The sequence below is a fragment of the Homo sapiens genome, chromosome 8, assembly GCF_000001405.40.
Source record: "Homo sapiens chromosome 8, GRCh38.p14 Primary Assembly".
NCBI classification, from domain to species: Eukaryota; Metazoa; Chordata; class Mammalia; order Primates; family Hominidae; genus Homo; species Homo sapiens.
In genome coordinates, this window is record NC_000008.11 from 70,516,049 (window position 1) to 70,543,276 (window position 27,228).

At 40.9% G+C, this 27,228-nt stretch overlaps 1 long non-coding RNA gene across 3 annotated transcripts, besides 1 other annotated feature; it reads right to left on the reverse strand.

The window, feature by feature from the left end:
• Positions 1 to 9,049: 9,049 nt before the first annotated feature.
• Positions 9,050 to 19,897, reverse strand: LOC105375890 (uncharacterized). Of its 3 annotated transcripts, none has more exons than XR_929030.3 (3): positions 19,166 to 19,897; positions 12,013 to 12,217; positions 9,050 to 9,304 (listed from the first exon to the last, which is right to left on the reverse strand). It is a non-coding gene; the product is annotated as an uncharacterized LOC105375890 (long non-coding RNA). The 3 variants fall into 3 exon arrangements; XR_929027.3 differs by having other exon boundaries at positions 12,013 to 12,251; XR_929028.3 differs by having other exon boundaries at positions 9,050 to 9,338; positions 12,013 to 12,251.
• Positions 25,584 to 26,084: an enhancer, noted in NCBI's record as "H3K27ac hESC enhancer chr8:71453867-71454367 (GRCh37/hg19 assembly coordinates)". NCBI's record gives its function as "activates a minimal SCP1, AML or CMV promoter by ChIP-STARR-seq in primed H9 embryonic stem cells {active_cell/tissue: H9 hESC(primed)}" and the evidence as "EXISTENCE:reporter gene assay evidence [ECO:0000049][PMID:30033119]".

The window sequence follows — 27,228 nt, forward strand, 5'->3', positions numbered from 1 at the left end:
GTTTAAGATTATGTGTTGTTTTTTCATCTCACAGTGCCTTTCTTGGTCATATTTATATAACGCATTATAAAGTTTATGTTTACTCTTAAAATTCATTCATTTAATTTATTTTGAAAAACACTGAGGACCTACTATGTGCCAGGCACAAAACAAAAACTCATTCACCATTTAGTCTGAGGCTCTACGTGAGCTTAACATGTCTTGCTCAGAACCTAAATTTAAATTTGTGACTTTTATGTAAACAATTGAGAAGTATCTTTTGCCCTTGGTTACTTAAATAATAAAATGATCACTATAGAGTTAAGAGCTCCCTTTTATGACCCCCTTTTTCCTAGCCCCATCCCATAGCTTATTTACCAATTTATCAAGCATGGATTTCATAACTGTGTTTTAATTATATTTAAAGGGAATGGGTGTGGAGATTGAAGGAAAAGAAGACCTGGAGATGAGATGCTTTCTCTCTAAGAGTCAAGATTAAAAACCTCCTAATTGGTCTTCATGCCTTCTGTTTCTTTGCACGCCAGTCAAAGAGATTCCCCTAAAGCATAGTATTGATTTTTTTTTTAACAATTCAATTGTTTTTAGTATGTTCACAGAGTTGTGCAATCATCACCACAATCAATTTTAGAACATTTTCATCATGTGTACTCTTTAACCATGACCTCCCAATCTCCCCATTTCCCCACCCAGCCCTAGGCAACCACACATCTGCTTTTTGTCTCTCTAGATTTCCCTTTTCTGAACATTTCAGATAAATGGAATTATGTGCTATGTGGTCTTTTGTGACTGGCTTCTTTCCATTACCAAATGTTTTCAAGGGTCATCCAAGATATAGCATGTGTCTGTACTTCATTGTTTTTATGGCTAAATAAAATTTCATTCTATGATCACACCACATTTTGTGTACCCATTAATCAGTTGATGAACATTTGGCTTTTTCTACCTTTTGACTATTATGAATACTGCTGCTATGATCATTCATTTGCTAGTTTTTGTGTGGACATACCTTTTCATGTGTTTATCAGGTATCTACTTTGTTCTCCTGAGTGTACACCTAGGAGTGGAATTGCCAGGTCATGTGGTAACTCTAACGTTTAACTTTTTGAGGAACTGTCAGACTGTTTTCCAAAATGGCTGCACTATTTTATATTCCTACCAGTGGTGCAGAAGTGTTCCAATTTTTCACATTCTTGGCAACACTTGTTATTGTCTGTCCTTTCTATTATAGCCGAACTAGTGGATGTAAAGTGGTATCTCTTTTGGTTTTGATTTACATTTCCCTGGTGACTATTGGTGTTGAGCATATTTTCATGTGCTATTGGTCATCTGTTTATCTTCTTTGGAGATATATCTATTTAGATTCCATGCCCATTTTTAAATCAGGTAATTTGTATTTTGCTATTGACTAGAATATCATGTAATCTAGATAAAAAGTCCCTTATTAGATATATGATTTGCAAATATTTTTTCTCATTCTGTTGTTTGTCCTTTCACTTTCTTGCTGGTGTCCTTTGAAGCATAGAAGTTTTTAATTCTGAGGAAATCCAATTTATCTATTTTTTTCTTTGATTGCTTGTGCTTTGTTGTTATATCTAAGAAATCACTGCCAAATAAAGATTAGGAAGACTTACGCCTACATTTTCTTCTAAGAGTTTATAGTTTTAGCTCTTCCACTGAAATCTTTGCTCCATTAAGTTAGTTTTTGTGTATGGTATAAGATAGTGGTCGAACTTCATACTTTTGCACGTGGATATCCAGTTGTCTCAGCACCATTTGTTGAAAATATTATTCTTTCCTCTATTGAATTGTTTTGGCAACGCTGTCAAAAAGCAATTTACTCTAAATGCGAGGGTTTATTTCTGGATTCTTAATTTTATTTCATTGATCTGTAGGTCTATCCTTATGCCAATACCATACTGTCTTGATTACTTGTAGCTTTATAGTAGGTTTTGAAATTGGGAAATATGAACCCTCCAACTTTGATCTTCTTTTTCTTTTTTTTAGAGACAGGTCTCACTCTGTCACCCAGAACGGAGTGCAGTGTCATGATCACGGCTCACCGAAGCCTCAAACTCCTGGGCTCAAGTGACCCTCCTGCCTCACCCTCCCTAGCAGCTAGAACTATAGGTGCATGCCTCTTCACCTGGATAATTTTTTAAACATTTTTTAGAGATGGGGGTCTTACTATATTGCTGAGGCTAGTCTCCAACTCCTGTCCCCAATCAATCCTCGTACCTCAGCCTCCCCAAGTGCAAGGGTTACAGTGTTCTTTTTGAAAATTGTTTTGGCTATTCTGGATCCTTGGAATTTCCATGTGAATTTTAGAATCAGCTTGTCAATTTCTACAAAGAAGCCAGCTGGGATTTTGATATGGATTGCATGGAATTCACAGGTCAATTTAGTGAGTATTGCCATTATAACAAAATTAAATCTTCTGATCCATGAACGTGGAATGTGTTCCCATTTATTTAGATCTTTTTAACTTCTTTCAACGATTTTTGTAGTTTCTAGGTAAAAGTTTTGCACTTCTTTTGTTAAATTTATTCCTAAAAATTTTATTCTTTTTGATGCTATTGTAAGTAGGATCACATTCTTAATTTCATATTTGGATTGTTCAGTGAAAGTGTATAGAAATACAATTGATTTTGCATATTAATCTTGTATTCAGCAACCTTGCTGAACTCATTTATTCATTCTAATGGTTTTTTTTGTATATGAGATCATGTCATCTCCAAATAGTGATAGCTTTCCTTCTTCCTTTCCAATTGAGATTTCTTTTATTTCTTTCTTTTGCCTAATTGCTCTGGCTAGAACCCCCATACAATGTTGAATAGAGCTAGTTAGAATGGACATCCTTCTCTTTGTTTTTTAAGGACTAGAGTCTTTTTCTGTTGCCCAGGCTGGAGTGCAGGAGTGTGATCATAGCTCACTACATCCTCAAACTCCGGGGTTCAATTGATCTTCTTGCCAGAGTCTCCCGAATAGCTAGGACTACAGGTGTGTGTGACCATACCCAGCTACTTTTAATTTTTTAATTTTTTATAGAAAGGAGTCTCACTATGTTGCCCAGGTGGGTCTGAAACCCCTGGCTTTAAGCAATCCTTCCACCTCAGCCTCCCAAGGTTCTGGGATTACAGGTGTGATCCACTGTGCCCAGTCCTCCTTTTGTTGTTGATCTTGGGTGAAATCACTCAGTCTTTCACTATTAAGTGTGATAGTAGCTATGGGTTTTTCTAGATGGTTTTTATCAGGTTCAGGAAGTCCACTGTTCCTAATTTGTTGAACTTTTTTTTAATCATAAGAGAGAGTTGGGGTTTTTTTTGGTTTTTTGTTTTGTTTTGTTTGTTGTTGTTGTTTTTTGAGATAGAGTCTCACTCTGTCGCCCAGGCTGGAGTGCAGTGGAACAATCTTGGCTCATTGCAACCTCCACCTCCCAGGTACAAGCGATTCTCCTGCCTCAGCCTTCTGAGTAGCTGGGACTACTCAGCTAAAAAATTTAGCCACCATGCCTGGCTAATTTTTTTGTATTTTTAGTAGAGATGGGGTTTCACTGTTTTAGCCAGGATGGTTTTGATCTCCTGACCTCATGATCTGCCTGCCTTGGCCTCCCAAAGTGCTGTGATTATAGGTGTGAGCCACCATGCCCGGCCAAGAGTTGGTTTTTTCAAATGTTCTTTCTGCATCTATTGAGATGATTATGTGGTTATTTTTTATTCTATTGATATGATAACATTATTTCATTTTTGAATGTTAAACCAACTTTGCATTCCTGGAATTAAATCCTAGTTGGTCATGGAGTATAATCCTTTTATGGGTTGCTGGATATGGTTTGCTAATTCTCTGTTGATGATTTTCATCTCTATATTCATAAGAAATACTGGTTTATAATTTCTTTTGAAGAATTCATGAGTAACTGGTGTTAATTCTTCTGTAAGTGTTTGGTAAAATTCACCCAGTGAAGCCAGCAATGACTTTTTCATCCTCCTCTTTGAAACCCTTCAATGGTTACCAATCACCTAATGAATTCAATATAACATCCTATGATATGCATTCCCAGTAGTATGTCCTACTATTCCCAACTAATCTCCCACCTGCCACTTGTCCACAGCCTCTATCTCAACTCTTGCCTTGACCTGTACTTCTTATACCCTTGTGTGTTTCACTAGGCGGACTGCTACTCCTCTCTTAAAAACATCTCAAGTCTACTTACACCTTAAAACCATTTCTTGACTTTCTTGTTGAATTAGTTTAGATTTTCTTGCAATATTCTGACCAGCTTCCCCTAATAACCATTTTTAAATCTCTCTATTGATCTTCACAGCATAGGATTTATAGAAAAGCCTTTATCATAGGCTTTGGGAACAAATGAATTGTAAAAAGCACCTTAATGGGAAAAGGCCCATTCTAGTTAAATTGGGACCTGTCAGTTATTTTGCTAATGACACATAACTATTAAATGCTATATGGAATCCACTGTGAAGAGTATGTCTCTGTGAGTTCTTTTTCCAATGTCAGAATAATTAAAAAGAATTTTTGCTTGAGGAACTCATTATGAATGACTTCTCTGTGTTTCACCATATTTCTGAGGAAAAATTGTCTTAAAAATTGGATTCAAGACTTAGGGAGGTTCCGCATGCCTTTTTGCTGACTTTCCAAGTCTCAATGATCTTCACAGTAGAGAATATCAAAGATGCTAATGGCAGGATCACAATAGTAGTTGTTCTCTAAAAACGATTCCTTCTTCCAATATTTAAAATAAAATTTTTAAATATTTTAAGGCTGATGTATAATTTTCTGTGAAGAAACTGTATTACCTTAGTAAACATAGCATTTAAAATATATAACATTGCTTTTCAAATATATATGAAGATTATATTTTCTTCATAGAGTTTTGAAATGTTTATGAAGAAATGAGAATTATATAGAACATGCTCAAAACTCTTTTATGCGTTAGAATTTGTAACAAAGTGACTGCTATACTAACATATCTAATGGACATCTGTTTCCTAAATTTCATTAAGGTAAAATTTTTATTTTAGTGAGGGATGAATCAAGAATTCTTTAAGACAAAATTATCAAGAAACACATTTCATAGATCTATGCTATTATGCAAATGTTGTGACTGGAGCCCATTACTTCAGCTGACTTTAACAGTATTGCCAGTTTTCTCTCAACATTAGCTAGGGAGGTATGTTGGTATTGCTTCTATTATTATTATCAATAAAAAATAGTAATAACTGCATTCATTTATTGTCACTGTGCATTACAAATGATGCCAGGCACTTATCATCTAGCTTACAACAAGCCAGCAAAGAAATTTGCTAGCATGCTTACTATATGTTAGCAAGGATTAGGTTCAATTGCAAGTAATAGAAACCTAAAATAATAATGTCTTTAAAAAGAATGAATTGTATTATCTTACATAAAAGTCCAGAGGTAGGCATTCTAGGCCTGGCTTTATAGTTCTGCTCTACAAAGTACTTAGGGACTGAAGCTCTTTCTCTCTTATAAATGCTCACTGGCTGCAGTGCCAACAGCAAAGAAAGGGATAAGAGAAAGAGGGCAAAGGAAACATACTGCTTTGCTTAGTAAGGTTTCTACTACATGATATTTCATTTAGAGTCCATTGGCCAGAAGGCAGTCATATAAACATGTGTAGGTGGGTGGCCATGTGCCAACTACAACTTTGAGGATCTAAAACGGAGGAAAGAGTGATTAACCCATTTACGTTACTTGCCCAAAGTCACCTGCTTGATAAAAGACAGAGGATTCAAAACTACATCTGTCTAGGTCTATCTTTGAGGGCAGAGCAAAGGGGATGGGAATAGTAATAATTTATTTTATAAACTTAGCACGTTGTCTTAAATATTGTTCCAGTTAGTTATTGCCATGTAACAAACCAAGCCCAATTTAAACAATAAACATTTATTTAGCTCAGCAAATCATTCCTGTGAATCTGGGCCAATCTTGGCAGATTTCTGCTTGGAGATTGGCAAGGGGTTGACTGGCCTAGGGCCTTGGCTGGGACAACTTGTCATTCCTCCACATGGTCTCTTGTCCTTCATTAGGCCAGCCTGGGTTTGTTTTTATCACATCATCCATTTGAGAGAGGTCCACGAGAGAGAACAGGAGCATGAAAGACTTCTTGAGGCATAGATTCATAAGTGGCTCAATGTCATTTCCACTGCACTACATTAGTCAAGATAAAAAACAATACCAACCCAGATTCAAGGGCTGGGGAAATATACTTATCGCTTGACAAATTACAATGTCATATTGCAAAAATCATGGGTACAGAGAGACCACCAATTGGGGCTATGAATGTAATCAATTTACCATAATATTAATAAAAGTTGTTGATTGGAATTGAAAATAGTAAGGATCATCGTCAACAAAAAAACCTGAATGTATTGTCTTTATTTAGTTGTGTTTTTCTTTTAAATTTTTTATTTTTCAAGACTGGGCCTTGCTCTGTTGCTCAGGCTGGAGTGCAGCTGCATGATCAAGGCTCACTGCAGGCTCAACTTCTGGGGCTCAGGCAATCTTCTTGTCTCAGCCTCCCAAGAAGCTGAGACCACAGGCACGTGCCACCATACCCAGCTAATTTTTAAAAAAATGTATTTATAGACATGGGGTCTCCCCATGTTGCTCAGGCAGGACTCTAACTCCTGGATTCTAGGAATCCTCCTCTCTTGGCCTCCCAAAGTGCCAGGATTACAGGCATGAGCCACCACACGCAGCCAAGTTTTTCTTCTTAGAGGAACTCAAGTTCTACAATAGTTCTTCTCAGTCATCATGGACACATTCAGGAAATGAAACATAAACAAAGGTCCTTGGGTCTTGGAAGATTTTTTCTGCTAAATTGAATCTGGATTAAGACTAGGAAGGGATGGATATAGGGCCAGAGGAGTCTGTGGGTGAAGATTTTTATTGTCCTTAGAAATTGTAATTTGTCTGAGATTGCATTTTTCTTCCTGTTAAAGCTTGATTTAAAATGTGTGGGGGCTGGGCGCAGTGGCTCATGCCTGTAATCCCAGCATTTTGGGAGGCTGAGGCAAGTGAATCACTTGAAGGCAGGAGTTTAAGACAATCCTGGCCAACATGGTGAAACCCTGTCTCTACTAAGACTACAAAAATTAGCCTGGCATGGTGGCATGTTCCTGTGGTCTCAACGACTCAAGAGGCTGAGGCATGAGAATCACTTGAACCTGGGAAGTGGAAAGTACAGTGAGCAAAGATTGTGACACTGCACTCCAGCCTGGGTGAAAGAGTGAGACCCTGTCTGAAAAAAAAAAAGTATGTGGGTATTCTCAGGTTCTTGAGAAAATTAATGAAAAGAGAGTAAGTTTTATTTTCTTCATTGTTTGGGCTAGTTTGTTCATTCACTAAACAAAAATGCATTGAGTCCCTGTCATGTGCTAAGTACCATGCTGGGCACTGAGATATAATAATAAGCAAAAATAGACATAGTTCCTATCCTTAAGGAGTTTACCACTGTGGGTTGGAGAAATGAGACATTAATTAAATAATCCCACAAATAAATGCTCCATGATGGCAAAATGCAAAAAGTGATGTAAAGGTATATGGTGACATGAGACTCAGACTCTCCAAAACAAAGAGGTGGTCTGGTCTGTGGCATCAAAGAAGGCTTTCTTAAAGAAAAAATCTTCAAGCTAAACTCTGAAGGATAAGTCAGAATTAATGGGGTAGTGGTAGAGAATAGGGTTCTAGGCAAAGAAACAGTATCTGTAAAGGCACTTATGAAAGACTGCAAGGAAGCCATTTAGGACTGAAACACAGAGAGTGAGAGGAAGTGGTTTAGAGATGAGACCGGAGAGCTGATGACTGTCAGATTATATGGGGGTGCTAGGCCATAGAAGAAACTTTTGTCATTATCCTCAAAAAATAACAGCCATAGCAAGTGACATGAGCAGGTCTGTGAATTTAAAAGATCCCTTTGGGGTTAGGCCCGAGATTGAATAACTAGAGACCATTTAGGAGTCTACTGCAGTGTCCAGATAAAACCTGATAGCTTAGATGAGAGCGGTGATGAGGGAGAGGATGAAAAGCAGAACTATTCAGGAGATTTTTGTGGTAAAATCAATAGGCCTCTGTAACATGTCAGTTACAGGAAGTAAAGAAAAGGAAGATGTAGTATATTGAATCTCTTCACCCCTCCCTGCCTTCATATCACTGTCAAGGCCTTACTGTGGGTAGACTTTGGGCTTGACAATGTTGCCTGCTTCAGCCAATGACATAAGTAGAAATGTCAGTATGCCATTCCAAGCTTAGGATTTAAGAGACCTTATGTGTTTGCACTTGTGCTCTTGAACCTCAGAAGCCATCATGAAAGAAACATTCCCAGACTGGCCTGCTAGTTCAAGAAGGATAAGTGACATGGGGCATAGAGTCACCCCTGAGACCTACAGTGAGCAGCAGAGCCACTCTGGCTGCTGCAATCTACAATAGAGTTGCCCAACTGAGCCCAGACTAGATCTGCCAAATTCTAACTAACTTCTGCATACATGAGTGATTGTAAATGAATGTGGTTTTGTTGTTGTTGTTGTTGTTGTTGTTGTTGTTTAGGGACAGTGTCTCACTCAGTGGCCCAGGCTGGAGGGCAGTGGCATAATCACAGCTCACTGCAGCCTCAACCTCTCAGGCTCAAGACATCCTCCCACCTCAGCCTTGTGAGTAACTAGGACTACAGTTGCATGCCACCATGCCTGACTAATTTTTGTATTTTTTGTAGAGACAGGGTTTTGCTGTGTTGCCCAGGCTGGTCTTGAACTCCTGGGCTCAAGTGAGTCATCTGCCTTTGCCTTTCAAACTGTCAGGATTACAGGCATGAGCCACCGTGCCTGGCCGAATATAGTTTTAAATATCAGAATTTGGAGTTGTTTGTTACTCAGCAATAATTGACACCCAGATGTGTAACCACTCAACAGGTTCATCCTGCCCACTGCCCAGATAGAGCTGATTCATCAAGACAGGGAAATTGCAATAGAGAAACAGTTTAATATACATAGAACCAGCTAAATGGCCAGACTAATAATAACAGATGGGTTGATTTTATTACTCAAATCAGATTCCCTGAAAATTTGGAGGCTAGAGTTTTTTCAAGATAGTTAGGTGGGCTGGGGGCTAGGGAATGGGTGCTGCTGATTGGTCAGGGGTGCAATCATAGAGATGTAGAAAATGGTTCTTATGTGCTGAGTCCACTTCTGGGTGGGGGCTATAGGACCAGGTGAGTCTTAAGTCTTGGGTCTCAGTGGAGTCATCCAACCATCAGAAGTGCAGAAGTCTGAAAAGACATCTCAAAAGTCCAATCTTAGGCTCTACAATAGTGACATTATTCACAGGAGTAATAGGGGAAGTTACAAATCTTGTGATCTCCAGTACAATGGCTGGTAATTGTTTAACTAAACCTACTTCTTAGCAGAATTCAGGCCCTTCTCTTAATCCTAAATTTGTGGCCTTTTATTAGTTTTATAATAATTATTATAAAAGGGCTATTATTATTTAAACTATAAACTAAATTTCTCCCATAGTTAGTTTGGCCCATGCCTTTCCCTGTAGGCATTTTCTCACTGTTGTGATTTATTTGTTTTTTTTTAGAGGCAGTCTTCCTCTGTTGCCCAGGCAGAATTGCAGTGGCATGACCTCAGCTCATTGCAGCCTCAACCTTCCAGGCTTAAGCAATCCTCCCATGTCAACCTCCCAAGTAGCTGGGCCTACAGGCACATGCCACCATGCCTGGCTAATTTTTAAAAAAAAATTTTGAAGTGCCCAGGCTAGTCTCAAACTCCTGAGCTCAAGCCACCCTCCCATTTTGGTCTCCCAAAGTGCTGGGATTACAGGCATGAGACACTGTGCCTGGCTTCACTGTTGTAATTTTTTGCAAAAGTGGGCACAGGGGCTCATGCCTGTAATCCTAGAACTTTGAGAGACCAAGATGGGAGGATCACATGAGCTTAGTCGTTTGAGACCAGTCTGAGCAATAGAGTGAGACCCTTTCTCTACAAAAAATATAAAAGACTAGCCAGGCACAGTGGTGCGAGCCTGTAGTCCCAGCTACTTGGGAGGCTGAGGTGGGAGGATCACCTGAGCCCAGGAGGTTGAGGCTGCAGTGAGCTGTGATCAAGCCACTGTACTCCAGCCTGTGTGACAGAGTGAGACCCCATCTCAAAAAAAAATTTTATATCAGTAACTATTGGAAAGTTTAAGTGTCAAGCCAAAAGAGCCATGATGAAGTTCTGATTTATTAAATTCCATTTGTGAAGAGTGTGTGTGTGTGTGTGTGTGTGTGTGTGTGTGTGTGTGTCTGCGTATGAGAGGGAAACAGAGGGAGATTGAGACACACAGGAGAGATGCAGAGAGCAGGTTGTGGTGGCTCATTCTTATAGCCCAACTGCTGGCTAGTTTGGTTTTCATTTAAAAGTTCTTCGACTGACATTTGACTATTGCCCCTTTAGAATACAGTCTTTTATAATTTTCTCCATTTCCCCTACATGACTTCTGTCCATCTTTGGAGAAGCAAAATTATGCCTAATGGGTTTCTGATTTGTTCTTTGGAGCCCCACTTTTTAGTAAGCACACAAAAAAACTATTCATCCACATTGCTACCTTATACTAAACGTTCTTTGTTAACTTAAATTCTACAGGCTGGGCAGCATAAACATTCAAGAAAAAAAAATTCATTGTGCCACCAGCTCTAAGCATCTGGCACCAAATATTTCTTTAATGTTTGTTTAAACAAGAAATGTTTTAAAAGAGAGACATTTTTCACAGTGATGATGGCCTTGACTACCGAGGGCACATATCTGAGCCCTGGTCTTTGCAGGGAGCATGAAGGAGCCTGTCAGTGAAGCTTTCCTCCAGGGAAAAGCCAACGGAAAGGTTTCTTCACTTTGGAAGTTCTGCGTCTTGGAATTTTTCTAAGGATAGTTTCAGCTTTTTCAAACTTAGTGCATGTCAGTACTTGAGAAGAAGGTCAGAGAAAAGCAGCAGAAAGTGAAAATAATTTGCTTTAAGAACGCAGGCAGTGCTTCTGTGAAATCATGCTATTCAGAGACTTTCAATCAAGTGGATCCTAATTTTCTAGTTGCTTGACTTGTACTTTGAGATTCCCTAAAACAACTTCAGTATTGAGAATTGCTCTGGGCAGAATTGGGGCCTGAACATTATTTTCTCTGTGCACCCCCTGATTTTGACCAGTCTTTTTTTTTTTAAGAAACAGGGGTCTCACTATGTTGTCCAGGCTGCTCTTGAACTCCTGGCCTCAAGCAATCCTCCCACCTCAGCCTCCCAAGTGCCGAGATTACAGGTGCATGCTACCATGTCCTGCTAATTTTTTTTTTTTATTTTTTGTAGAGACAGGGTCTCACTATGTTGTCAGGGCTGGTCTTGAACTCCTGGGCTCAAGACTCTGCCTCAGTCTCCCAGAGTGCTAGGATTACAGGCACCAGCCACTGCGCCTGACCCATTTTCCCCATCTTGATTCCCCATTCTCTGCTTCTTCCCCTCCTGCTCAGACCTCTATTTCATTCATACCTTGCTGCCAATCATTGCTCAGGTATTAATTTAATCTTGGAATTTAATATTATACTTCATATTTTGTACTGAAGCAAAGATAGACTTTTTTTTTTTTTTTTTTGAGACAGAGTCTCACTGTGCTGCCCAGGCTGGAGTGCAGTGGTGTGATCTCAGCTCACTGCATCCTCTGCCTCTCAGGTTCAAGTGATTCTCCTGCCTCAGCCTACCAGTAGCTGGGATTACAGGCACCTGTCACCACACCCAGCTAATTTTTATATTTTTAGTATGACCGGTTTTCGCCATGTTGGCCAGGCTGGTCCCGAACTCCGGAGCTCAGGTGATCCGCTCGCCTCTGCCTCCCAGAGTGCTGGGATTATAGGCATGAGCCCCTGTGCTGGCCATGAAGCAAGATAAACTTATAGGATGTTTAGAGCTGACAGGGTCATTCATTCATTCATGTATTCTTCACATACTTACGCTTTGAGCCAAGCATTTCCCCAGGCTCCCAAGTAGCTTCCATTCCAGCAGAGAAGCCATGATAACCCAATCAAATAAATTCTGTGATGGAAGTGTAAGCACAGTCTAGCAGCAGCACAGGCAGGGAGTGTGTCCATCTGTATAGGCAGAGATGGTGAAGGCTTCCCAAAGCTGGCAGTGGGACATCCATATTCAGAAATGAAGCCTAGGAATAACGTTTCCATCAGAGCAAGCAACCCCTGCAAAGACAGGGAGAAGCTGGGGCACGACTAATGGCCGAGTATTGCTGTAGGGTGCATTGTGAGCAGGGAAGCTCCTGCCCATGGCCCTGTCATGCTGGGACAAGGACCTTGAATACCATGCAAGGGAATTTCGATTTTAAACTGGAGTCAACAGAAAGAACATTGAAGATTTTTAAGCAGATCTTTTATGTTAGAAAGGTCACTCTGGTGGGTGGGGCATGGTGGCTCACACCTGTAATCCCAGCACTTTGGGAGGCCGAGGCAGGTGGTTCACCCGAGGTCAGGAGTTCAAGACCAGCCTGGCCAACATGGTGAAACTCCATCTCTACTAAAAAATACAAAATTAGCCAGGTGTGGTGGTGCATGCCTGTAATCCCAGCTACTCAGGAGGCTGAGGCAGGAGAATTGCTTGAACCTGGAGGCAGAGGTTGCAGTGAGCTAAGATTCTGCCAATGCACTCCAGCCTGGGCGACAGAGCGATACTCCATCTTAAAAGAAAAATAAAAATAAAAAATAAAAGAAAAAAAAGATCTTTGGGGAAATAAGGGGTGTGGATGGAATGGGAGGAGGAATCAATGAGATTCAAATCAGGGACATCTAGAGAGAGGCTGATACAATCAATAGTCCAGGCCACTGACGTTGAAGGCCTGAGCTGGGGCAGTGGCTCTGGGCATAAACAGGAGGAATGTTTAGGGCTGAAAAACTAACTGGAGCCGGGCGTGGTGGCTCACGCCTGTAATCCCAGCACTTTGGGAGGCCAAAGTGGGCAGATCACTTGAGCTCAGGACTTCGAGGCCAGCCTGGGCAACATGGTGAAACCCAGTCTCTACAAAAAATATAAAAATTAGCTGGTCGTGGTGAAACACACCTGTAGTTCCAGCTACTTGGGAGGCTGAGATTGGAGAATCACTTGAGCACAGGAGATGGAGGTCACAGTGAGTTAAGATACCACAGCTGCACTCCAGCCTGGGCAATAGAGCTAGAACTTGTCTTTTAAAGAAAAAAAAAAAGACTAAGTGGGTGGAAAGAGGAAAGACTAAAAGATGAATCCAGGTTTCTCGGGCTTCGCTGATGGGATTCATGGTTGCAGCAATCACCTGTAGGATGTCTGGATATTAACAGAGCCATTAAGGGCTGAGTTCACTTTTGTGCTCCTTGTGTCTGGACTGAAGACAGAGCAGTCCAAAAGAAGGTCAAGGACAGAGTCATGGGGTGCCCCACATCGTAAGGGCATCATAAGAGGTTATTTTCTAGAATAGATTCCAGGTCCCACCTGAGATGATTTAGAAGGCCTGGGTGAAGCCTAAGAATCCATGGTTATTGTTATTGTTTTTGTTATTTATATATTTATTTATTTGAGACAGAGTCTCACTCTGTCACCCAGGCTGAATGCAGTAGGGCGATCTTGACTCATTGCAACCTTTGACTCCTGGGCTCAGGTGATCCTCCCATCTCAGCCTCCCAAGTAGCTGGGACCACAGGTGCAGGCCACTACACTCAGCTAATTTTTCTATTTTCAGGAGAGACGGTGTTTTACCATGTTGCCCAGGCTGTTGACGAACTCCCGGGCTCAAGCAGTCCATCCACTTCTGCCTCCCAAAGTGCTGGGATTACAGGCGTGAGCCACCGCGCCTGGCTAGTAATCCATGTTTTAAAAAAATCTCTTCAGGGACTCTGAGCAGCAACCCAAGCTGGGAGTCACAGGTCAGTCCCACCCTCTTCCATGACAGAGCTAGACCTGATTTCCTGCAGGGTGGAGAGACTTTCCAAAGGTCACAGAGCTCCCTAGAAGCTGAGTGAAGCTCAGACTCCTAGGCCACTGTCGTTTCTTCTCTGTGGGGCTCATTTCTCCACCAGATTCCTTGGTCTTGTTTCGATTTTAAAGCCACTGATGAGGGTCTGCACTTCCCTCTTGTGTTTGTAACATGTGATCAGTTCTAACCCAAATTTGGCTGAGCAGTGGATTTGGTAGACTGAAAGAGATGTCCCTCACAAGCTCATGACACTGGTTTCTAAACAATTCTATATTGTACAGTGCTCTTAGTAAAGAGGAAATTTGTTCTCAGTGGCTCAGTCCTCATCATTCTGCCCAGCAGCTTTTGGCAGAATCTGGTCTTTGAACTAATATCTTCGTATATAATCTGGACCACGGAATAGAAAAATGCCCCTACTTTTGTAAGAGATGCTGGGTGGGAGAAAAATTGGCTGAGAATCTATAAGTCTTCTTTGAGAATTTATGGTTGAATTTATGATGATGCAGAAATAAAAGACAAGATCACTGTGTTTAGGAAAATGGAATCTCATTGGTTCTGGGAGACAACTAGTGAATGCCAAGATTTCTCTCCAGTTCTTTCCTTGGGAGCACACATCCCCTCAGAATTAGTCACATCCATGTGACTTGCTTTAGCTAACAAAATGTTGGCATAACAATGGGTATCGCTTTAAAAAAATTTTTTTAGCTTTTTTTGTTGTTAACTTTAGCAACCCTATTAACTGAACAACGGGTATCACTTCTACTTGTATTAAATATGTATAAAACTTCTCCATTTTCCATGAACCCTGAAGCCTTCTGTTGATTTCACACAGTGGTAGAACTTTTGTCAACCTGGGCCACCTGGACTCTGATGATCAGAACCCCTCCGCCAATTAGTGTGGGAAATGTAGTGTGAATATGAAAAACAATCTGGCTGGGCATGGTGGGTCACATCTGTAATCCCAGCACTTTGGGAGGCCAAGTGGGGAGGATTGCTTCAGTCCAGGATTTCGAGGCCAGCCTTGGAAACATAGCAAGCCCCATCTCCCAAATACATATATAATTAAAAAATTAGCTGGATGTGGTGGTGCACGTATGTAGTCCCAGCTACTTCGGAGGCTGAGGTGGGAGGATGGCTTGAACCCAGGAGGTGGAGGCTGCAATGAGCCGAGATTGCACCACTGCACTGCAGCCTGGGCAACAGAGTGAGACCCCTTCTCGAAAACAAAACAAAACAAAAAACTACCCCAGACTATTGTTCTAAGCCGCTGAGATTTGCTGATTTGTTTACTGCAGCATATTTTAGCTTAATCTGACTAATGCACTGGTCAATAAGAAATACGCATGGGAAACATAACGCAAACCCTGAAATATCATAAAACCGGAAGATCTCAGGGGGCTAGAGTCATCAGAGAAGGCAATCCTGGTCAACTGGAATAATGGGACATAAACTGGATGGGGTTCAGTAGAGAAAAATTCAGGGTTATGCACTTGGAGTTGAAAAGTGAACATGTTCAAAGGCAAGGTGCCAACTACTCAAAGGCAGTTGGCTGGAAAATTTAAAGTATAGCTTTAGTGGACAGCCAGTTGACCGGGAAGAATTGTCACAATCCTGCAGCTCTGTTGATTGAAAAAAATGCAAGCAGAGAACTGTAGCAAATGAAAAGCATGTCTGTATCATGAGGTAATTGTTACATTGCTCTCTGTACTGTCCAGAGCTGTAACGGAGAGCTGGGGCTGGCTCCCGGCTCCATAGTTCTACGGGAATTGAGAGAATGTGGAGAGTTCAGAGCTAAAGCAGAATAGTCATCCTGTGACCAGCAAACAAGGGCTAAAGGACCTAGGATTATTTAGCCTAGAGAGGAGATGCATCAGAGGTGAATTAAGAAGTGCCAGCATTGGACTTAAACTTCAGAAGAGCCATTGCGTGGAGGATGATGACTGTTTTTTCCCTCTGTTGCCAAGGACACAAAAAGAATGGGCTCATTAAAGTTAAACAAAAGGAAGAATTTCCTGATGCCTAGGGTTGTTTGACACCAGATAGGGCTGGAGATTTTTCTTTGGAGGACTTTGCAAAATCAATATTCTTTTAAATGCAGTAGATTGGCTCTTTCCTGAAGTAAAGGGCGGGAAGCCTGGCAGTCTCATTTCTACCATGACCAGGATGGCAGTGGATGATGTTCACTGTGGGACACACTCGATGTGCATGCTAAACTAACGTTTTGCACAACTCCCAGCATCCTACGGGCAGCTGTGTTCCTTTCCTTCTTCTCAAGAAAACATATTAGGAAACAAGAGCTACTTGTTGGTGATCAGGATAACCTCAACTCCTCTTTTTTAAAAAGGTAAATGTTTTGTAAATGTCAGTCTTTTAACTATTGCTTGTAAAAATAACTAAATAACTTGTGATATAATCAGTCAACATTTTTTTTTTTGAGATGGAGTCTCACTCTGTTGCCCAGGCTGGAGTGCAGTGGCACAATCTCGGCTCACTGCAACCTCTGCCTCCCGGGTTCAAGCAGTTCTCCTGCCTCAACCTCCTGAGTAGCCAGGATTACAGACGTGCACCACCATGCCCGGCTAATTTTTGCATTTTTAGTAGAGACAGGGTTTCACCATGTTGCCCAGGCTGGTGTCGAACTCCTGACCTCAGGTGATCCTCCTACCTCAGCCTCCCAAAGTGCTAGGATTATAGGTGTGAGCTACCACACCCCACTCCATTCAACATTTCTTTAACAGATAATTCTTGAGTGAGGGGTGTGTGTGTTTGTGTTGGGAGATGTGGCTGAACCAATTCCTAGTGATGAATGCTGTTATACAGGAAATGTGGCACGCCCTGAGACCCAAGAGAAGGGCTGATAAGCCTGTACCTAGAAGGCATGTGCAAGCTGAGATGCATAGGGTGAGTGGGAGAAAGTTGGCCAACAGGAGACACAGCAGGAAGGCAGGTGGAGCTATGTGTGTGAGGCTTGGAGGCTGGAGGCATATGGAGAAATCAAGAAGTGGAAAGATCTCTGAATATAGATGCTATCATCAGGGCAGAGTGGGAGTGGGTGACAGTAGGAGCCAGGGCTGCTATGTGGGAGGCAGAACACCTGGGGTCACATCGGTCATGTTAGGCTTGGATTTCATCCCAGGAGCATAGTGAGGCCATGGAAGTGTTGATGCAGGGGAAGGACCCTCTCAGGTTTATGTTTCAGAAAGATCATTCTGGCTGCATGTGGAAAATTGATTAGAGAAGCTTTGAAATTAATCTGGCCTAGGTTTAAATCTATGGTCCATGTTATTAATTTTAAGATTTTCAAAAAATTACTTAATCTCACACAATCTCAGTTTCCTCATCTGTAAAACAGAGATAATTATTAGTATGCCTTATCTGGCAGGGTAGCTGTGAGAATAAGTATAAATATTGCATGTAAAGGGCCTGCAGAGTGTCTAATCCCCTGGTGTGGGTGCCCAACAAACTCTGGCTCCCTTCTCTGCCAATTTATAGTAAATTTACAAGTGAGAAATGCACTTGCCACAGTACAGAATCAAATACTTTGTTTTTTCTTTTTCTTTTTTGAGATGGAGTCTCGCTCTGATGCTAGGCTGGAGTGCAGTGGCACGATCTCGGCTCACTGCAACCTCCACCTCCCAGGTTCAAGCGATTCTTGTGCCTCAGCCTCCCGAGTAGCTGGGACTACAGGCGTGCATACTTTGTTTTTTCAATCGAGAGTGATGATTACATGGATAGTTTCTACAGTCCTCTTAAAACTGTAGAGACCAGACTAGATTTTCCTTAAGTCCTTTAATCATCTTTGTGGTTTTTTGCAGAACCTTCTCCAGTTTTTCAAAATTCCACTTCAATTGTGGAGACCACAGCTAGATTAGTCACCGTAGAGAACCCATTATAATTAGCTCAACACTGTGCAGTTGCTTGGGCGGCTGACTCGGCCATGAAAACCCAGTCGGCCAGTCCCCATCGACACATAGGTTGTGTTCCAGGAGTTCATTAGTAAGTCGGTTGTTTGGAACACAGAAAGCCTTTCCCCATAGAAACAGAATTATAGATGGTGGCTTGTTTCCCAGGCCAGTGCACAAAAATCTATTTAATGCACATGCAGCTGAACCAGGGCCAGTCCCTTAAGTCTTGGACTTGCCTGATCCCCAGTGGAGCCCCCAGTCTCATGGAGCCCTGAGAACCTCTGAGCCTCAAGCATCCAACCACAAGGCCTCTGAGAGAGGTGAGAATTGGGCTGACAATTTTAGAGTGAGAATCATTTGCAGCATGATTATGAAAAACACTTCTTTGGAAGACTTAACCTGCAATCGTGCTTACTGTTATTAGAAAGCAATCAAGTTACCCTATGATAAATACACCGACTATATGCGGATATTGTACCTAAATCTACCTAAATTACCTTTAATTTTCACAGTACTCCTGTAAGAAAATGACTCTCTTTCTCAGTATTCCCATTTTGCCTGTGTCTTAAGGAGACTGTGGCCCAAGGTCAGGCAGATAGAAGGTGGCAGAACTGATGTTGGAGATCTGGCCTTCTGTCTCGTAAAGCTGAGACCTTTTCACTGCACAACACTGCCTCCCAGTGGACTGTGCTTAACACTGAACCTCGCGTGGCTGAGCCAACCACGTATACTCTGCGGGTGCACTTAACAAGTTCTTCATTCATACATCCAACAAAGAATCTTTGAGTGCTTCCAATGAGCGAGGCCTCGGGAACACAAAATCAAATTAGACGTGGTGTTCTCATAGAGTGGTTGGGAAAGGGAATAAGTAAATCAACGATTGAAATCTATGAGATGGAATGTAATTAAATTTTAAAAGAGAAAAAGATAACATAGAAACCCAGCAGAGAGATGTATTGGTCAGACAGACGAGGATGGTGGTGGACCAGAAAGTCCCTGTGCTCCCCTAGCTTTCACCTCCTGTCCTCAGACTATACCATCCACCGTCTACCACACCTACTGATACCGTCATCAGTTGAGCTGAGCCCCTCACATCTCCATCATTTTAGCTTTTAGCTTTCTGTAAGTCTCTCCGAAACCACGTCAGCCTTTGTTCCTGGTGATTTTAATATCCACGCTGATGACTGCTTCTGTACCCAGGCCTCTCAGCACCTTTAACTCCCCTTGTCATCTACCCACCTCAGTCACTTACCTCAGTGGTCGTTCTCTAGACCTGGTCACTGCCAAGAACTGCAACTCCTCTACAATCTCAGTTTATCATCTCGTCCATGGCACACGAAAGTGAGAGCGGCTGGAGGCTGCTAAATGCCCAGGAGGATGGGGTGAAACCCCACCTTCCAGCCAAAAACACTGAACTGCTGGTCCCAGATGAAACCCGCGACACAGGCTGAGTATTTCTGTTCCTTTTTGCCCCCGCTCTTTCCTGATTAATTATTTCTAAATAATGCGTTTTAACCGATCAAGCGTTGCCTTTTCCAATACTACCTATGACCTGCCCCTCCCCTATTCTAAGCCTATAAAAAGCTCGTGACCCAGCCACGAGGGGAGGAAAAAACCATCCGACTAAGGGGGTGGGCGACCACCCCCCAGAGTCCCTTCTCCGCTAATTGCTGTTCCCTTGCTCAATAAAATTCTTCTCCGCCCTCTTCACCCTTCAATGTCCAACGTATCCTCATTCTTCTCAGGCGTGGTACAAGAGCTTGGGAACTGCCGAACGCGGGTACAAGAGCTTGGGAACCGCCGAACGTGGGTACAAGAGCTTGGGAACCGCCGAACGCGGATAGAAGCTATAACACAGGCGAGCTGGGGCATGCCAGCGTGGCTGAGCAGGGCGCGGGTGGGGCATCGCTGGCCGGAGGTCCCGGTTTGCAAAGTGACCGAGAAGAAAAATCCTGCATCAAAAGTTACAGTTGCTGCCGGGAGCTGTGGCTCATGCCTGTAATCCCAGCACTTTGGGAGGCTGAGGTGGGCAGATCATGAGGTCAGCAGTTCGAGACCAGCCTGGCCAACATGATGAAACCCCATCTCTACTAAAAATACAAAAATTAGCCGGGCGTGGTGGCGAGTGCCTGTAATCTCAGCTACTTGGGAGGCTGAGGCAGGAGAATTGCTTGAACCTGAGAGGTGGAGGTTGCAGTGAGCTGAGATAGCACCACTGCACTCTAGTCTGGGTAACAGAGCAAGACTCCATCTGGGGAAAAAAAAAAGTTCCAGTTGCTGGCATCTTCTGCATTTGTGTTGCCAATCCTTTTAATTCTAGCCATTCTGGTGAGATTGTAATTGTAATAACATTGAAATGGTATGCATTTCTCTGATAAGGAAATAAAGTACTTTTATATACATTTATTGGACATTGGAATATCATTTTCGTGAAGTGTCTTGTTCATTTGCTACGGGATTGTCTGTCTTTATTGATTAATACAAGTTCTTTATATGATAAATATATTGCAAATAATTTCCTTTATTCTGTCACTTGCCCTCTTATTCTCGTCATTTTGATGAAAAGAAGTTCGCAATTTTGATGAAATCCAATTTATCAATCTTTTCCTCTGTGGTTAACATTATTGTTCAAATCTCACATTTATTTAAGAAATATATTTTAAAATATATTTTAAGAAAATATATTTAAATATAAATTTGTATGTTACAATATATGTTTTATATTTTATATAAATATGTTACATTTTAAAGTATATTTCTATATATATTTAAGAAATCTTTTCCTACTTTGAGGTTATGAGGATAGTCAAAATTATCTTCTAGGTTTATTTTGTGGACTTTCACATTTATACCTATAAATATTTTGGAATCTATTTTTCTTTTTGGTGTGACATACTAATCAAGCTTGTTAATTTTTTTTTGTATTTGGAAATTGCCCCAGCTCTATTTATTGAAGAGATCATCCTTTTCCCATTTCTCTGTGTGTCACCTTTGTCATAAATCAAGAGTTCTTTATTGTCTTTCTGTGCTCGATTTTATAAAATTTATTGTTATAAGAATTTGTCCATTTCATCCAAATTTTCAAATGCATTGGCATAAAATAGTCCATAATATCCTTCTCTTGTCTTTTCAATGTCTGAATGATCTGTAGTGATGTTCTCTTTCTCATTCTTAACACTGGTAATCTGTGCCTCCTCTCTCTTTCAAAAATTATTCTCACTAGGGAGATACAAGTATTTTCAGAGAACTAGTTTTTGGCTTTTTCCATCTTTTTACTTTATGTTTTTGTATTTTTATGTTGTAAACACAGAAAGTTGAGCATGTGCTTATGTGCGTGTATCTATCTTTACCTAATAATGTAGCATCAAATTATACAGAGAAAAAAATATGCTTGTCTATCCAGTGTGACAATCTTTGCCTTTAATTATAGCATTTTGCCCATTTACATTTCATTAATTAGTGATATTTGGGGGTGTAAATATACCTTCTTATTAAACACACTCTCTTTTTTCTGCCTGCTCCATGTTATATTCCTTTCTTGCCCTTTTTCAGATTGATAAGATTTTTTACTATTTCATTTCCCCCTGTCCATTAGCTTGGAAATTGTATGCCTTTTAATTATTCTTTTGGTGGTACCCTAGGTCTCTAGGTAATTACTCTAATGAGTATAGCCTACCTTTTTGACGTTACAAAGTCTAATAAGAATTGGTGTCTTTGCCTCTTTCCAGGGAGTGCAAGCACCTTAGAATATTTCTATTAATCTTCACCTAACCTTTATGCCATTGTTGTCAGGTATTTTCTCCCTGTATTTTAAATACCAACGTTACTATTGTTGTTTGCACAAATGCAGAAGATGCTAGCACCTGGAACTTTTTTTTTTTTCCCCAGATGGAGTCTTGCTCTGTTACCCAGACTGGAGTGCAGTGGTGCTATCTCAGCTCACTGCAACCTCCACCTCCCAGGTTCAAGCAATTTTAAAAATGCCTTTCTTTCACCTTTATTCTTGAAGGATATTTTTGCTGGATATGAAATTCTAGGTTGAAATGGTTAGTTTGTTGATTGGTGTTTTTAGAATCTTAAAGATGTTATTCCAGTATATTTTGACTTCCATGACTTCTGCTAGAAATCAACTGTCAGTTTAATGTAGCTTCTTTGAATTTAAATTGTCTTTCTGGGGGGTTTATTTTAAGACAATCTCTCTTTTCTTCTAAGTTTTATTTATCTTGTTTTTCACTGTGATGTGCCTAAACATAGATCTCATTCTGTCTTTCTTCTTCCCTCCCTCCCTCCTTTCTTTCCTTCCTTCCTTCCTTCTTTTTCTTTTTTTCTATTCTGTTTGGAACTTTTAGAGGTCCTTAAATATGTAATTCATGTTTATTAAATGATTTCTAACTAAATTATCTATAGAAATATTGTTTGTCTCCCTTCTCCCTATTCTCTCCTTTTGGGGCTCTACACTTAAGCTAGTCCTTACTGAATTCTCTATGTCTCTTACCTTCTCATCTGTGTTTTCCATCTTCTTGTCTCTTTGTACCTCATTCTAGAAATTTCTTGTAGTCTGTCTTCCAGGACACTAATTTCTCTTCAGTTGTTTTAATCTGCTGTTAAACTCAATCCATTGACTCCTTAATTTCAGTTATTGAGTTTTTCAGTTCTAAATTCCATTTTTTAAAATATCTGCCAAAATTCTCAATCTTTTATCTCTCTGAAGAGAGTACACATGGTTATTTTAAAGTCTGTGTCTAGAAACTCTAATATTTAAAGACCTCATGTGTCTGTCTATATTTTTCTTTTTCTTTTTTTTTTTTTTGAGACAGAGTCTCACTCTGTCACTCAGGTTGGAGTGCAGTGGCATGATCTCACTGCAACCTCCACCTCCCAGGTTCAAGCAATTCTTGTGCCTCAGCCTTCTGAGTAGCTGGAATTACCAGTGTGTGCCACCACGCCTGGCTAATTTCTGGTTTGTTAGTAGAGATGGGGTTTCACCATGTTGGCCAGGCTGTTCTTGAACTCCTGACCTCAAGCCATCCGCCCACCGTGGTCTCCGAAAGTGCTGGGATTACAGGCGTGAGCTGCTGCACCTGGAGATGTTTGTATTTTCCTTTGTCTGTGCTGTGTTGTATTCCTATTGTCTTACCTCCTCATGTACATGGCTATTTTCTATTATGTGCCATACATACTTGCAAAATTGTTTTAGAAATAATTGAGAGAACTTGGGTAATAATTTCTTCCTTCTGAGAGGATTTACATTTGTAGTGCCTGGGGTCACATGCACCAAACTGAGGAGCTAAGATGATTAGAAATTAAACTGTAGTTCCCACCTATGCCCCATGTATTTCAGTTTATTAATCCTCCTTGAGTTCAGACACAATGGCTCACACTTGTAATCCTAGCACTAAAGGAGCCTGAGGTGGGAGGATCACTTGAGAATAGGAGTTCAAGTCTGCAGTGAGCTGCAGTGAGCTATGGTTGTGCCACTGAACTCCAGCCTAAACAACAGAGCAAGACCCTGTCTCTCTCTAAAAAAAAAAAAAAAAAAATCCTTAGAAGCAGCTCTTTAGAATCTCAACCCAAAGTGAGAGGCTTTACTGGAGTTCCCTTCAGTGCACCTGAAATTCCTTTCCCTGTTTTCTCTGCCCCAAGAGACTGTGAAAGCACAGATCAGCCTCCTAGTCCCTCAGCAGCCCCTTTGGAATGACCAACACTACCCTGGTTTACTTCCCTGGGCCACTGTACTTCCCTGGTTCGTAACCCAAGAATTCTTCACTTTCTCGTTAGCTATCCTCTACCTTAGAGCAGAGGATCATTATATTTTGTTTAGTTTGTCTAGTTGCCTTCAGGAGAGTGTTTATCTGAGACACTTAGTCTGCATTATCCTCTCTTACCAGAAGTAGAAGTCTCTGATATGTTTAGTTGCTGGTTGTCTCTTTCCTCATTACTCCTAGTTTTCTAATTTTTAGAAAATAGTCTTCATTGTTTATACTTCAAGATAAATGTTTAGTTACTTTATCAATTTAAAAATTTTAATTAGCAATGTGACTAGACTTACATGAAATCCAGAAATTAACTTGGGACAAACTGATCATTTCACAGCTTTTACATTCAGAAGCATGATGCATCTCTCAATGTATTCACATTTTTTAAACAATCCTATTAACTGAATATTCACATTTTTAATGTCCTCATATAATTTTATAATTCCTTTGTATTGTTCCTGCACATTTTTTAAGTATATATGGTTCTATTTTTATTGTTTTACTATTATAAATGGGATGTTTCCTCCATTTTACTTTTAACAGTTTAATAGTGATTTAAAGGAAAGTTATTGTTTACATCTTACTTATTTAAGTAGTGATTTTATTAGTTTATCTTCTCTTCTTGATCATAAAAGCATTTAAGGCCAGAAGTTCACCTCTAAGTATAGCTTTATGGAATTTTATTTTTAGGATAAGAAAGGATTACTTTTTTTCCCAAATGTGAATTTTTATTAGTGTTTAATACAGTTTGGATTTGTGTCCCCGCCCAAGTCTCATGTCGAATTGTAACCACTAATGTTGGAGGATTGGATCATGGGGGCAGACTTCTCCCTTGCTGTTCTCATGATAGTGAGTGAGTTGTCATGAGGTCTGGTTATTTAAAAGTGTGTAGCACTTCCCCCTTCATTCTAGTCCTCCTTCTCTGACCACGTAAGATGTGCCTGCTTCCCCTTAGCCTTCTGCCATGGTTGTAAGTTTCCTGAGGCCTCCCCAGCCATGCTTCCTGTACAGCTTATGGAACTGTGAGTCAATTAAACCTCTTTTCTTTATAAATTACCCAGTCTTAGGTAGTTCTTTATAGCAATGTGAGAGGTGACAGAAACAGAAAATTGGTATCGGGAAGTGGGGCATTGCTATAAAGATACCTGAAAATATGGAAGCAGCTTTGGAACTGGGTAATGGACAGAGGTTGAAAGGGTTTGGAGAGCTCAGAAGAATACAGGAAAGTAAGGGAAAGTTTGGAACTTCTTAGAGACTTGTTACATTGTTGTGACCAAAATGCTGATAGTGATATAGACAGTGAAGTCCAGCCTGAGGAGGTCTCAGATGGATTTGAGAAACTTATTGAGAACTGGAACCAAGCTCATTTTTGTTATGTGTGAACAAAGAGATAATCTGAAACTGAAACTTATATTTAAAAAGGAAGCAGAGCATAACAGTTTGGAAAATTTGCAACCTGACCACGTGGTAGCAAAACAAAAACCCATTTTCTGGGGAGGAATTCAAGCTGCCTGCAGAAATTTGCATAAGTAAAGAAGAGTGGAATGTTAGTAGCCAAGACATTGGGGAAAATGCCTTGAAGACACTTTAGAAACCTTCATGGCATCTCCTTTCCTCACAGGCCTGGAAGCCTAGGAGGGAAGAATGGTTTTGTAGGTCAAGCCCAGGGCCCTGCTGCCCTGCGCAACCCGAGGACACTGCTCCCTGTCTCTCAGCTGCTCCTGCTCCAGCTGTGGCTAACAGGGCTCCAGCTATGTCTCAGGCAGCTGCTCCAGAGGGTACAAGCCATAAGCCTTGGTGGCTTCCATGTGATGTTAAGCCTGAGCGTGCACAGAGTGCAAGAGTTGAGGCTTGGGAGCCTCCACCTAGATTTCAGAGGATGTATGGAGATACCTGGATATCCAGGCAGAAATCTGCTGCAGGAGTGGAGTCCTCATGGAGACCCTCTACTAGGACAGTTCAGAGGGGAAATGTGGGGTTGGAGCCCCCACACAGAGTCCCCACTGAGGCACTGCCTAGTGGAGCTGTGAGAAGGGGGCAGCCATCCTCCAGACCCCAGAATTGTAGATCCACCGACAGCTTGCACCGTGTGCTAGGAAAAGCTGCAGGCACTCAGTGCCAGCCTGTGAAAGCAGGCAAGGGGGCTGTACATTGCAGAGACACAGGGGTGGAGAAGCACACGGTCTTGGGAGCCCACCCCTTGCATCAGTGTTGCCTCTATATGAGACATGGAGTCAAAGGAGATTATTTTGGAGCTTTAAGATTTAATGACTGCCCTGCTGGGTTTTGGACTTGCATGGGGCCTGTAGTCTCTTTGTTTTGGCTGATTTCTCCATTTTGGAATGGTCATATTTAGCCAGTGCCTGTATCCCCACTATATCTTGGAAGTAACTAACTGGTTTTGATTTTATGGGCTCATGGGTGGAAGAGGCATACCTTATCTCAGATGATACATTTCAGTTAATGCTGAGATGAGTTAAGACTTTGGGGGACTGTTGGGAAGGGATAATTGTATTTTGAAATGTGAGAAGGACATGAAATTTGGGAGGTCCCAGGGGTGAAATAATATGTTTTGGGTATGTGTCCTCAGCCAAATCTCTTGTCGAATTGTAACCCCCAGTGTTGGAGGAGGGGCCTTGTGGGAGGTGATTGGATCATGGGGGCAGACTTTTCCCTTGCTGCTCTTGTGATAGTGAATGAGTTCTCATGAAGTCTGGTTGTTTAAAATGTGTAGCACTTCCCCCTTCACTCTAGTCCCCCTTCTCTGGCCATGTAAGATGTGCCTGCTTTTCCTTGGCCTTCTGCCATGATTGTAAGTTTCCTGAGGCCTCCCAAGCCATGCTTCCTGTACAGCCTATGGAACTGTGAGTCAAATAAACCTTTTTTTTTTTTTTAATAAATTACCCACTCTCCAGTAGTGCTGTATAGCAATGTGACAATGAAAATAGGCTAAAAGAGTTGTTGTAAATTAAATGTTTTACGAATTTTTAATTTTATTCTCTTTAATCAGATAATGTGGCCTTTTCAATTATTGCTGTTTTGATTTATTTCTTTTAGATTTTCTTTGCTCTAATAACGGATTATTTTTCAAAAAGATGTTCTTTGGACACATGTAAAGAAAGTATATGGTTCAAATTTCCTTACCTTCCTTATTTTTGTCTAGTTGATTTTGTACAGAGCTTGTGAAGGGGCTGTTATTATGTTACATGTCAATTGCATTTCTACAAATCCTTATTTTTATCTCCAAAGTTATTGCTTTATGTATCTTTGGTACTGTATCATTTGATGAATAAATGCTTAATACTATTATGAATTCTCTATTGATTATATCTATTAGAAATATAAATAATTTGTACCTTATTGTATAAAGCAAATTATTGGAAAAGTAAACAAAATAATATAAGAAAAACACTTGGGGCTGGGTGTGGTGGCTCATGCCTATAATGCCACACTTTGGGAGGCTGAGGTGGGCAGAATGCTCGAGTCCAGGAGTTCGAGACCAGTCTGCACAGTGTGGTGAAGCCCCATCTCTACAAAAAATACAAAAATTATCCAGGCA